At 39.8% G+C, this 13336-nt stretch overlaps 1 protein-coding gene and 1 non-coding gene across 8 annotated transcripts in view; both read right to left on the bottom strand.

Moving 5' to 3' along the window:
* Nucleotides 1-13336, bottom strand: part of MAP3K13 (mitogen-activated protein kinase kinase kinase 13) — a 206134-nt gene that overhangs the window by 38338 nt on the left and 154460 nt on the right. For 6 of the 7 annotated variants that reach the window (XM_047449193.1, XM_017007456.2, NM_001242314.2 and 3 more), the window contains 4 exons: nt 13127-13310; nt 7121-7312; nt 2810-2968; nt 699-857 (listed from right to left, as the gene is read on the bottom strand). In XM_047449193.1, the coding sequence (XP_047305149.1) occupies nt 699-857; nt 2810-2968; nt 7121-7312; nt 13127-13310 (694 nt within the window). The remainder of the gene's footprint in view (nt 1-698; nt 858-2809; nt 2969-7120; nt 7313-13126; nt 13311-13336) is intronic. The other variant, NM_001242317.2, reaches the window with a different exon arrangement.
* LOC124906361 (small nucleolar RNA U13) lies at nt 8438-8538 on the bottom strand. Its single transcript, XR_007096328.1, has one exon. It is a non-coding gene; the product is annotated as a small nucleolar RNA U13 (small nucleolar RNA).

Raw genomic sequence — 13336 nt, 5'->3', positions numbered from 1 at the left:
CACTATGTTGCCTAAGCTGATCTCAGACTCATGGGTTCAAGTGATCCTCCTACCTCGGCCTCCCAAAGTGTTGGGATTACAGGCGTGAGCCACCATGCCTGGCCCTGCAGTACAGTTTTTTATTTATATTTTATTTTATTTTATGTTTTTAACACAGAGATGGGGTCTCGCTATGTTGCCCAAGCTGCTCTTGAACTCCTCGCCTCAAGTGATCCTCCCATCTCTGCCAGCCAAAGTGTTGGAATTACAGGTGTGAGCCACTGTGCCTGGCTGCCCTGCAGTACAGTTTTGATATACTGAAGAGCAAAAGGAAAATGTAATTATGAGATACGTCTAATGATGAAATGGAAATCTAGGATTAGTGACCTATTTAATAATAGTCCATTAGGACTAGCAAAGAAATAGTAGCTATCATTGACCAAGGCCTACTATTTTGAGATAATAACACCAAGTTCTTTATTTCTAAATTTTAATTAATTACAACACAATAACTCTATGAGTCAGTGTTGTCTCTATTTTACAAATGAGAAAACTGATATTGAATAACGTGCCCAAAATTGCACAGATAGAAAGGGGCAGAGCTAGTATTTGAACCCAAGATTCTCCTACTCCAAAGCTCCTATTCTTTCCACCACCAGGATATTTACTCCAAATACACATTAGAGACCTCCCTATTGTTTTAGAGACAATATTCTTACCACGTCTGTTTCATAAGGATTTTGAATCCATCAGGGCAAGTGGAAGGAACTGGAAGGTGGAGGCTGTTGCTTCCAACACCCCAGATAATGGCTGAAGAATCTACATCTTTGTAAGGGATCTCTCCTGTCAGCAGCTCCCAAAGCACCACTCCAAAAGACCTACAGTAGCGCCGGGAACATGGACAGAAGATGTTTCAGAAAGACTGATTTGTATTTTAGTTCTCTATTAATTGAAATCAAATTAGTACATATACCCAGTTTTAAAATTCTAATACTGCTATAAGAAAAACAGAAACATCTGGGACAACTCTGAAAAAAAAAAAAAAATCTATGTGGGGTAATCAACACTACCAGAAATTAAAACCTGAATAATTAACTCCCGTGTGTGAACAGATCACCAGCATAATGGACTGGACAAGAAATCCAGAAATAAACCAAATACATTTAGGAATTGAATGTATGATAGAAGTGACATCAAAAACCAGTGGGGAAAAATTGATTAGTTAATAAATGTTGTTGGAACAGCTAGGAAAAAAATTAAATCTATAACTCACCATAAATCAAGATAAATTTCACATGAATCAAAGATTTAAATAGAAAAATGAAACCATAAAAATCTTCTAAAAAATAAGGAGTTAAAAAATTATCTAGGAGTGTTAAAAACTTTTTTTTTTTTTTTTTTTTTTTAGACAGCATCTTGCTCTGTCACCTAGGCTGGAATGCAGTGGTGCGATCTTGGCTCACTGCAACCTCCACCTCCTGGGTTCAAGCGATTCTGCTGCCTGAGCCTCCCAAGTAGCTGGGATTACAAGTGCGTGCCACCACGCCTGGCTAATTTTTTGTATTTTTAGTGGAGATGGGATTTCACCATGTTGGCCAGGCTGGTCTCGAACTCCTGACCTCAAGTGATCCACCCGCCTTGGCCTCCCAAAGTGCTGGAATTACAGGTGTGAGCCACTGCGCCTGGCTTTTAAAGACTTTTTAAACCATGAAATCTAAAAGCCATAAAAGGAGAAATTGAGAAATTAAACTGTATTTTCAAAATCTGACACTGAAAAAAATACCATAAGCAAAATAACAAAATGTGAAGTATCTACAATTTACACAAAATGTGAATCTCCTTAATACATAAAATACTCTGATAAATTATGAGTAAAAATCAGAAAGCTGAGCAAAGATTATGAGTCATTCACAAATAAGCAAATACGATGGCTGTAACACATATGAACAAAAGTACAGGCTCACTTATCCTAAGAGGAATGCACCCAAGATACCGTTTTTTTACCTATATGATTGGCAAAAATCCAAGAGTTTAGCACATTTTGTTGGTGAGACTGAGAAAACACTCTTACATATTTCTGGTGGGAACATCAATTAGTAATCCCTAAGGAGGGTACTTTAGTAATGATTATCTAAATTACGAATGACCCCACATTTCTACTTTTTCCTATTTGCTCTGGTATTACATGCAATTTTGACATGTGCTATTATTTTGGTTTTAAGCCTAGAAGTTACTAGTTGCCAATTTTAAGGGTAAAAGAAAAGCTATTACAGGGAAAAATACTGTTAATAGAAAAGACTTATAACCTCAGAGGAAAGGTTACAGAGATTTTTTTTTAAAGCATAGCCTATAGAGGCTGTTCAATAAAAGGGCAAAACAACCTCCTACATCTCAAACATGTCTAGAGAACATAATTGTATCATAGCAAGGTACATTATTGATATGTGTAATGATGACCTGAGTCATTGAGATTAGGTAAGCTCTTGTACTTTACTCAAGAAGGTGAGAACTATGTAACACATTTCAGAAAGACTTCTATACTAAATGATCATTTGAAGTAAACTTTCAGTTTCCTAGAAAGTTCAGCATATTCTCTGAGGTCCCCCAAACTGGTGACTTACTGAGTAGATAGCCACCCTAATTCCCCCTAATCCTTCTCCCCATATATCACCATACTGGGAAGTACCTCAGAAAATATGAGGCTGAAATCAACCAAAAGTGAGCAACACTGAAGAATATTCTGGAAAAGTAAGTGCTGAAGGAAGACAGTGCTAATAGGGCGAAAGTGGGAAAAGGCTTTTTAGTTGGCACAACTGGTGGCGCCACTCACCATATATCAACTTTTTCAGAGACAGGTTCATTCCGTATCACCTCTGGCGCCATCCATGCGACCGTGCCAGCAAATGACATCTTGGTACTTTTGTCACTGAGTTCCTTAGATGTACCAAAATCTGAAATTTTTACCGCATCTGTGTGGGTCACTAAAACACTTTAAAAAGAAATAAAAAGAAAACATCTGGATCATTAGTACTAACGAAAACCATGATTCTAAATGGCTGAAACTGAAGACTTTATCTGCTACTTCCTATCTTGTAGCATTCAGCTTGCAGTTTCCAATGTCACTGGGGCATTGGCTATACACTAGAAATAGCATCATTCATACTTGTGAGGCAGTTTAGCGTAATGGGCTTTTAACACCTAGTCTTATTCTGCCTCTTCTACTTGCTGTGTGACCTTTGCCAAGTTATTTAACTCTTTTTTTTTTTTTTTTTTTTTTTTTTTTGAGACAGAGTTTCACTCTTGCCGCCCAGGCTGGAGTGCAATGGCACGATCTCAGCTGACTGCAACCTCTGCCTCCCGGGTTCAAGGGATTTTCTCCTTGCCCCAGCCTCCCAAGTAGCTGCAATTACAGGCACCTGCCACCATGCCCAGCTAATTTTTGTATTTTTAGTAGAGATGGGGTTTCTCCATGTTGGCCAGGCTGGTCTCGAACTCCTGACCTCAGGTGATCGACCCATCTCAGCCTCCCAAAGTGCTGCGATTACAGGCATGAGCCACTGCACCCGGCCTTACTTAACTCTTCTAAGCCAGTTTTCTCATGTGTAGGATGGAGACTCTTCAGGTCTTATTCACAAATTGAAAATGCAAAAAGTTCTCAACCAGTTTATATTTTTTTCACATGTATAAGGCAAACTCACTTTCTTCATCCCATTTTGTGTGAACAATAGGTTTTGCTGCAGATTTGTTAATGTGGTTGATTTTAGGATGCTGCTCCAGACCTCGCTGGATGTCTAAGGTAGTGCACTACCTTTCTGAAAATATCTTGCTTCAAGAGTTTTGGATAAGGGATGATAGACCTGTAATAACAATCTCACTGAATTTTCATTTGAATTAAATGAGGTAAGATACATAAGGCACCGTTATCAATAAATATTGGTTTCCATCCTTGCTGGCTTTAGCCAGGCCACTAAAAAGAGTACTTCTTTTAAAACACTGTTTAAATGATAGCCAACTAATATCATGAATGAGACCATGATGTTTGGGATTCATTACATTAAAAGGCTAATATATATGCTGGGATTTCACTAGTGCTGATAAGGAAAAGCAGAAATAAATCCAAGCTTAAGTAAATTCCACACCAGTCCTGTTTTACTTGTCATAGTAGTTATCTGAAAATGTGGCCTGAGGCAAAGTGCTCTCTGCCAGCCTTGAAGATGAATACAATCCGGTACCAAATTGACAGCTTCACATTAGATCGAATTCACTTGCAATAACCTGTTCAGAACTTTAGAAAATTAAAGACTTAGGGTTTCAGAGGCTTTAATGATCTAGGGACCTATGTTTAATGATGAGAGGCTTACGAGCGTGGTGGCGGGCGCTTGTAGTCCCAGCCACTCGGGAGGCTGAGGCAGGAGAATGGCGTGAACCCGGGAGGCGGAGCTTGCAGTGAGTGGAGATTGTGCCACTGCACTACAGCCTGGGCGACAGAGCGAGACCCCATCTCAAAAAAAAAAAAAAATGATAAGAGGCTTCATCCTCAAATAGTATCAGAATTGAGGAGGCTGTAAGGCAGAAAGCATCTGACTCTATCCCCTTGCTTCTCCATTTGAACCAGGGATTCCTTCACATTTACCATGCTCACAACCCCAACACCAATGGCTATTTACCAAATAGCTCAGAGCTTACAATTGCTTTTGAATACCATCCTCCATGCCCTGGTTTTGCACGTAATATGTAAAATTTATATAACTTAGGAGTTTTGATTTAACAGTGTTAGTCTTAGTGAAAATGCATAAGGATTAAAATATTATGGGATATATGAGAGAATTGGAGAATTGATATCATACACCAGGAAAGTGAGAGTAGGCAGTAAGCCCCTAAAAGAGGGAACTTTTTATGGGAACTTCCTCTCTGCCTCTGTTGGTGTGACAAGAGAGGATGGACTTGAGAGGAGACTAGAAAAATATAACATTAGAATTTTTCTGAAATCTTCTCTGAGACAAAGTTGTGGTCACAGAGCCTGCAGATTTAATGTAAGTAATGAGATCTCTTGTTACAGCAAGTCAGATTGATCTCTGTCTTCCCAAAGTCAGCTTGAAACCTAAAGAAGCCAACGCTGCTGGGGTTGGGAGTGTTATTGCTAATAGAGGGAAAGGCTTACTGGGTAACCCAATTACTACTCTATTCTACGGCTTCCTGACTCCTTCCCTCTAAGATTAATTCATAAGGAGAACAAGTTGGTTAAAAAGGAGACCATTCAGAGAGGCCTTCAGGTAGTTCATGTCCTTTACATGTATGCACTGGATGGCAAAAGCAACAGGGTAAGAATGTGAACGGAAGAAATGAACACTACACAATCATGTTTACTTGCAAGTAAAGCAAGGAGGAGGTTGTTCAGTCAACTAAGCACTGTAATAAATATTGCTGAGAATGATGGTGATAAATAAGAGCTGTTTTGAAGTTTATAATGAAGGATTGATTTATACCGTCCATGGAGGAAAGGCAGGATTCATTGTGAGTCCCCTACCTTCACATAATGAGGTAGAATGCAGTAACCTTTGGTTCAGAAATTCTAGGTTCGAGTCCTAGCCCCATGACTTTGGGCTAATCTCTAGTTTTCCTTACATAAAATAACAATACTTGTTACGTATCCCACACAGTTTTTGCCAGGATCAAAGATGTGATAATGGATTCCCCCTAAGATATTATAAACCATGAAAACACTATGCAAATATATATATGTGTGTGTGTATATACAATAAATATATAGTTTTTTTAAATTTTTATTATTTTTTGAGACAGGGTTGTGCTCTGTGGTCCAGGCTGGAGTGCAGTGGTGTGATCATGGCTTACTGTAGGCTTGACCTTCTGGGCTTAAGTGATTCTCCCACCTCAGCCTCCTGAGTAGCTTGAACTATAGGCTCATACTACCATGCCTGGCTAATTTTTAAATTTTTTGTAGAGATGGGTTTTCACTATATTGCCCAGGCTACAAATATATTTTGAAAAGAGATTAATCCTTTGCTTATCTAACCCAAAATGTGATGATAAATAATAAAAATAATGTTTAAAAATAGGAGTTATACTGAAATAAATCATTTTATCAATTTCTTTCTTCATTCAATTTGGGGAACTAACTACACACTCCTCTTAAAGTGATTGGTAGCCAAGAAATCATTTTGAAAACAGAGATTACTAGAAATAGCCCTGCTTCTCTTACATAGCCAGTGTTTATTTTTCCTATGGCCATTGTGAACCTTGTAATTGTTTATTTCCTCCTTTGCTTAGACACTAGAAGCTCAAAGCCAAATCTGTAATCCACGTCTACAGAATCTTACGGCATATAATTTGTGAACAATTTTTAGTTCTAATGTTTTTACTTTTCCTTTGCCTCTGCTTCTTTTTATTTTTATTATTTATTTATTTTTATTATTTTTTTTTTGAGACAGAGTCTTGCTCTGTCACCCAGGCTGGAGTACAGTGGTGTGATTTCAGCTCACTGCAACCTCCTCCTCCTAGGTTCAAGCAATTCTTCTGCCTCAGCCTCCCAAGTAGCCGGGACTACAGGCACCTGCTACCATGCCTGGCTGATTTTTTGTATTTTTAGTAGAGACAGGGTTTCACCACGTTGGTCAGGCTGGTCTCAAACTCCTGATCTCAAGTGATCCACCCACCTTGGCCTCCCAAAGTTCTAGGATTACAGGCGTGAGCCACTCCACCCAGCTAGCCTGTTTCTTATTTATCCATTTTATCCTGTTGTATACATTTCTGAAACTCAGTTTAAAAAGTTTTTTGAACACATGGAAAACAACAAATCAAGCCTTCTAGCGGGAAGGTCTGGCATTAGCTATCTGAGATGACAGAAGGTGAATACTTCAGATAATAATGAATTTTGTTTCACAGTTGTATGATTTAAAAGCACCAAAAAGGAAAAGTGGTTTCAGATACCTGGACGTATCTGCCCTACAGGTAACCAGGTAGGTCAACAATAACCCAAGAGATGCGCAAACAGAATTACCCACTGTGCTGATTGAAACTGAACTAAAGGTATGATGTCTGAAAACGTCAACTGAGGTTGATAAAAATTCTGTATTTCAAAACAACAAACCAAAATAGCTGAAACATTAGCCCCAGAACTCACTTAGGTGATTTGAGATCACGATGAATAATTTTATGGAGGTGCAAATAATTCATTCCACTTGCAATTCCTGTGGACCAGTCTACTAGCAATCGAGGTGTGATCTTCCTGCCAGCTCGTAAGACCTCGTAGAGTTGTCCATGGGCACAGTATTCCATGATAATACAATAACATGGGGCCTGAGTACAAACACCCCTTCCAAGAAAACATAAACATGTACATCAATACACACATACAAGTATACATATGTATATTTAAAGAATATTTAATAAAAACCAATTCTATACCCGAATTATTTTAAAAATGTGTATAGATAATAGTTCCTGATTCTCAAATTAGCATGGAAACTTCTCTAGTCTACAGGTTTCTCTATGATGCACATAGACAATTTTTGTTTGTTTTGTTCACTCTGGCTATCTATATGCTGTGCTGTGTCTGGTGCCTTTTCTGTGGGACCCTTCCATTCCGGGACAAAGAGCACACTTTTCTGAAGTTTGTGCAGGCTGGATACTGTGTTGTTTTAGATCATTAAGAATAATTTGGGAGGCCAAGGCGGGTGGATCACAGGGTCAGGAGTTCAAGACCAGCCTGGCCAAGATGGTGAAACCCTGTCTCTACTAAACATACAAAAAAATTAGCTGGGCATGGTGGCGCGCGCCTGTAGTCCCAGCTACTCAGGAGACTGAGGCAGAGAACTGCTTGAACCCGGGAGGTGGAGGTTGCAGTGAGCCGAGATTGCACCACTGCACTCTAGCCTGGGAAACAGAGTTAGACTCCCTCTCAAAAATAAAAAATAATAATAATTTGGCCAGGCCGCGGTGGCTCACGCTTGTAATCCCAACACTTTGGGAGTCTGAGGCAGGTGGATCACCAAGGTCAGGAGTTCGAGACCAGCTTGGCCAGCATGGTGAAACCGCGTCTCTACTAAAAATACAAAAATTAGCTGGGCATAGTAGTGCATGCCTGTAATGCCAGCTACTCGGGAGGCTGAGGCAAGAGAATCACTTGAGCCTGGGAGAAGGAGGTTGCAGTGAGCCAAGATCGTGCCACTGCACTCCATCCTGGGTGACAGAGTGAGACTCTGTCTCAGAAAAAAAAAAAAGAAAAAAAAGGAATAATTTAAAATTTCTTCCTTTTAAAGTTTTAGAGGGTTTTATGAGTGTACAGGAAGATAATTCAGAGAAAATACTTCTACTTTTAATATTATTTGCTGAATTTTAAATTACTCAAATTAAAAATAACTAACTAGACTGAGGACCCAAAGACGACTCAATTTTCCATCTTACATAATCTTTGAAAAACATTTCTTTTTTTTTTTCATGTCAGACAGGTAATGTGGTGACGTCGTAACAAGGTTGGAGGGAGGCACATCTCACCCGTGAGTGGGAACACCCAGTCATGCTTATGAATCACAAAAGAATATGAAAATATACACTTTTTTTTTTTTTTTAAGAAAGAGTCTCGCTCTGTCATCCAGGTTGGAGTGCAGTGGTGCAACCTCTGCCTCCCAGGCTCAAGTGATTCTCCTGTCTCAGCATCCCAAATAGCTGGGATTACAGGTGTGCACCACCACGCCAGGCTAATTTTTTTTTTTTTTTTTTGAGACAGAGTCGCTCTGTCACCCAGGTTCGAGTGCAGTGGCACAATCTTGGCTCACCACAACCTCCACCTCCCGGGTTCAAGCAATTCTCCTGTCTCAGCCTCCCGGGTAGCTGGGACTACAGGTGCCCACCACCACACCCAGCTAATTTTTGTATTTTAGTAGAGACAGGGTTTCACCATATTGGTCAGGCTGGTCTTGAACTCCTGACCTCAGGTGATCTGCCTGCCTCAGCCTCCCAAAGTGCTGGGATTACAGGCTTGAGCCACCGCTCCTGGCCACCAATTTTTTTTATTTTTAGTAGAGACGGGGTTTCATCATGTTGCCCAGGCTGCTCTCGAACTCCTGTACTCAAGTGATCCACCCGTCTTGGCCTCCCAAAGTGCTGGGATTACAGGCGTGAGCTACTGCATCCAGCCTATACAACATATTATATATCTATTAGCCTTTATTTGCATCAATTCCTACATCATCCATGAAAACCTTTTCCAATTATTCCAATCCAAAAAGATCTTTCTCTTCCCTAAATTCCTATGATATACAACAGCCACTAGTTCTTTATATGCAGTTTTTCTCTCTGCATATAGATTGTAAGCTCCTTGAAGGGAAAGGTCTTCAAGTTCTTTTCTCTCTACCTCAACGCCTAGAGGTTCACAGCAAGTCTCTAGCAAATGTTCGTTAACTTCACCTCAACCTTCTTGACTAAAAAAGCCTTCAAATAACATGTGCAGAGGCCTGGAGGAGGAGGAAGGAGACTAACATGAAAGAACCTCTTCTATTTTTCAAGGACATTTCCATGTTTATTTGTCTTATTTAATCTGCCCCAAATTACCATAAGATAAATATTACCTTTTCCATTTTTACAAGGAAGGCTCAGAGTGAGAAAGTGACTTGTCCTAATCACAACTAGATCATACAACTAATAAGTGACAGAGCTGGGATTCAAACTCAGTCTGCCTAATTTGAAAGTCCATGCCCACTCCACTCTGTACAATACTGCCTCCCTTTTAGCTTTTTAACTTCTGTTTAGACAAGCACATTGGGAATTCTTGTGTTAACACCATTATCTCATAAAAGGGAATGATCATAGTAACTCTACTTCTGTTTTGTTCTCAAGATGAGAAGAAAAATTACTATATGTAATTCTCTATGTCTTATCGCTTATGGGTATACATGCCTTCCTTTGAAACTTTCTAGAGAAGTTAGCAGAGTATCTGTAAGACATCCAGTTAAAGCCTTCAGCCAGCTACCAACCCATGCCTATCTCTTCAGCTGCTGTAAGTGATGAAAGAATTTTGAGGTCATGGCTTACGGCACTGATCATATGAAGGTGATGATGATCTTATAACAATAGCAGGTTATGAAGAAGTATAATTAGTCTTCATTTTCCCCTGCCCTGATGTGCCTGTCAAATGCCACAAAGCTATTTCTATTACTCTCCTATCATTTTCTAGGCTACAGAGAATTCTTATCTTGATTTTTAATAATTTTTTTTCAAGTTCCGGTTATATGTCTCTTAGGAAAGCTTGGTGAACCCAAGTGTCTGGCAGCTACAAACAAATGATTAATTATCATTACAGAGAACTAATAAATACGGCAGGTATAATGTAATATGCTTAAGTATATCAACATAAACATTTTTGAAGGTACTCAGCCTCCTATTCGACTATGTTTTAACTTGTTCCACATAGAAACGGTCTAACAGTGATCTTACGCACCTTTTATTTCTCTTGACTGACGAACGAGGAGCAATCATTCCATCATCCCTGTACTATGACAAGGTTTCTTAGTAGCTATAAATAACAGCTCTATAATCACTTCTAATTGCTACCTTTTCTTCCCCTTGGCACTGAATTCCATTAGGAACAGTCAGGTTGAGTTTTCTTAAAAGATTAACAAAAAAATTGGATGCAAAAAGAGTATAGCATTCTTATCTTGTACTTCCCCTTCTGTATGTGGTTTTTATTAACTTCAAAAGAAGCTGTAAGCACAGAAATCAGTATCCAGAGAGATGTACTAAAATCTAATCATTCTCTCATATATCTTCCAGACGGTCCTGAATGGGATTCATTGGCCAAGCAACACATGGCACAGATGGCTGCAAACATAACACTGCACAATGCCCAAGAGCATGGTGTAATGGGCCAGGAACACAGTCTCACTATTGTTTTCCATGTAGAGGTAAATACTATTCAAGTGTCTTCAGCCTAAAGAGTTGGGCACTAGCAGGGCAGTGCTGAAAACTGCATATGCAGGTAGGAGAGTCAGAAGGGAGAGGTGGGAAAAAGGAAGAAAGAGAAAGAAGCAAAAGAAAGGAAGTAAAAATAAAGCTTCTCACAACACCATCCTATTAGGACACATTTCTACTTTCAGTGACCCCGGGTACCCTACTGGAAAGCCCTCTTACCTGCAACACACAGCCTAATTCACTTCAAGAGGCCAAAAGGCCATACTCATCTACGGGACATTCTGTGTCTCAAACCCAGCGTCCTAGTGATCTAAGTTTAAAAGCTTTTGACCCTTCCTTCCATTTAGGAGGGTGTAGCATACTGGAAGTGAAGATGGTCTCAGTGTAGTAAAATGAAGGAAAGAAAGAAGAGGGTCTCTGTTTGTCTGTCTGCTTGAAATAATCTCCCCATTGTCTTTTGAAATTTATCCTCTTTGGAAAGATGATAATTGGTCTCTGCAGCATTTCATTTTAGTCACACATCCTCCTGGCCCTACTAGGTCAACCAAGGATAGAATTAACTGCAGCAATTGAAGCTTTCTCCCATGCCCTCTGCATGAATGTCCCTTCCCCAAGGAAATGAATCCAAGTACTTCTTTCTGTCTCTTAGTGTCCTGGTTGAATGCTTCTCTTTTTTTCACAGGTCTTTCCCTTTCCATAAGGGGTCTTGTTTGGGAATCAAAACTCAACTTCAGTACTCATTTAAACCCATTCTACAAAACCTGTACCCAAGATTTACCTTCCTTACTTTGTGGATGTGATCCCAATTAAGACTTATCACATGACATTTTTAGCTTTATAATCAGAGTTTTATCAAGGAAGGATCCATTCTGATCCTAGTTCCTCCTAGTTTAGGAGGGGGATTTGTAAGTTATTCCACTTTTAGCTGTAGCCTCATTGGTCATACTGTTTTCCAGGAATGCAAAATACATATCAAATATATCACAAAGCTCCAGTTTCTAAACTTTCATCCTACCTAAAGATACTTGTCCTGTTCTTCACCTTCTTTCCTCTAAAGCCACTTACCACTTATTTGTTTAAGCCTAGGGCAACATTAAAAGGCTAGTGAGGGAGAGAACTCAAGGGAAAGATTCAGGCAGAAGAGATAATATCTATTTAGAGCTCAGCACTTCCACCCTTTAAACTTTGACTCTCCTCCTTCTGTTAGGGATCCCAGGCAATATTATGAAAAGAATCATCTAGGCTAGAAAAATATGTTCACAGACTCTTGAAAACAATCACTTTGTGAAATGAATATAACATATGACTTACTATCAATAACTCAACAATCATTAGGTTAAGAAAGCTGAATGTTTGACATTGCTTGGAAGGAGATCTAGGAAAACCAGAGGCTATACTCTAAAGGTACCTGCCATTACACGTTAATGTTTAAGAAGGGATGCTAACAGAACCTAATACAAAATATGTATCTACTACACAAGGATTGATTGTTCTTTGATCACTTCAGATGTTACCTTTGTCTCTTTCTTTCTTTCTTTCTTCTTTCTTTCCTTTTTTTTTCAGGGTCTCACTCTGTCACCTAGGCTGGAGGGCAGTAGCATGAACATGGCTCAACACAGCCTCAACCTTCTGGGTTCAAGCAATCCCCCTGCCTCAGCCTCTTAAGTAGGTAGGACTACAGGCCTGTGCTACCACATTCAGCTAATTAAAAAAAATTTTTTTTTACAGACAGGGTTCCACTATATTGCCCAGGCTGGTCTCAAACTCCTGGGCTCAAGTGATCTGCCTGCCTTGGCCTCCCAAAGTGCTGGGATTACAGACATGAGCCACTGCGCCCGGCCAACTTTGTTTTGTTAAGTGAATCTTAGGCTGTTCAGGTGATATTGAAGTAACCTCTGTTATCCCATTGATAAATGAGGTTGATGCAGCAGATCTGACTGCTTGGCAGGAACCCACATTTTCCCTTCCTGCCCCATGTGCATGCCCCTTCCATGTACTTCCATGTACTTTGCACATACTTCGGCAAAATGAACCACTGGATTATAAGATGCCTGAGGACACAACTCCAATTTAATAGTTCCTTGATACCCTCCCAAAGCACCTAGCACAGTGCTAAGTCTAGAGAATGCTTTTGAAATATCTCTCAAAGCAGAAACTTGTGTGTATATATTGGGGGAAAGAAAATAGGTCTACTTCTTAAAAAAAAAAAGCCTTGACCTACTTGAATGCGATGATGTTAGGGTGCTTCAACTTCCTCAAATGCTTGATATCCGTCTCATTCTGTTCTCTCACTTTCTTGATGGCCACCTCTTCCGCCCGGAACTTGCCCAAGAAGACCGCTCCTTGGGCTCCACTACCCAGCCACTGCAGCTCTGAGATCTCCTCAAATGGCACTTCCCAAGTATCTAGGCACACAAGCAAGAAATAAGCT

The sequence above is a fragment of the Homo sapiens genome, chromosome 3 (assembly GCF_000001405.40).
Source record: "Homo sapiens chromosome 3, GRCh38.p14 Primary Assembly".
Classification (NCBI taxonomy): domain Eukaryota; kingdom Metazoa; phylum Chordata; class Mammalia; order Primates; family Hominidae; genus Homo; species Homo sapiens.
This window is presented reverse-complemented; position numbering and strand designations above follow the sequence as displayed.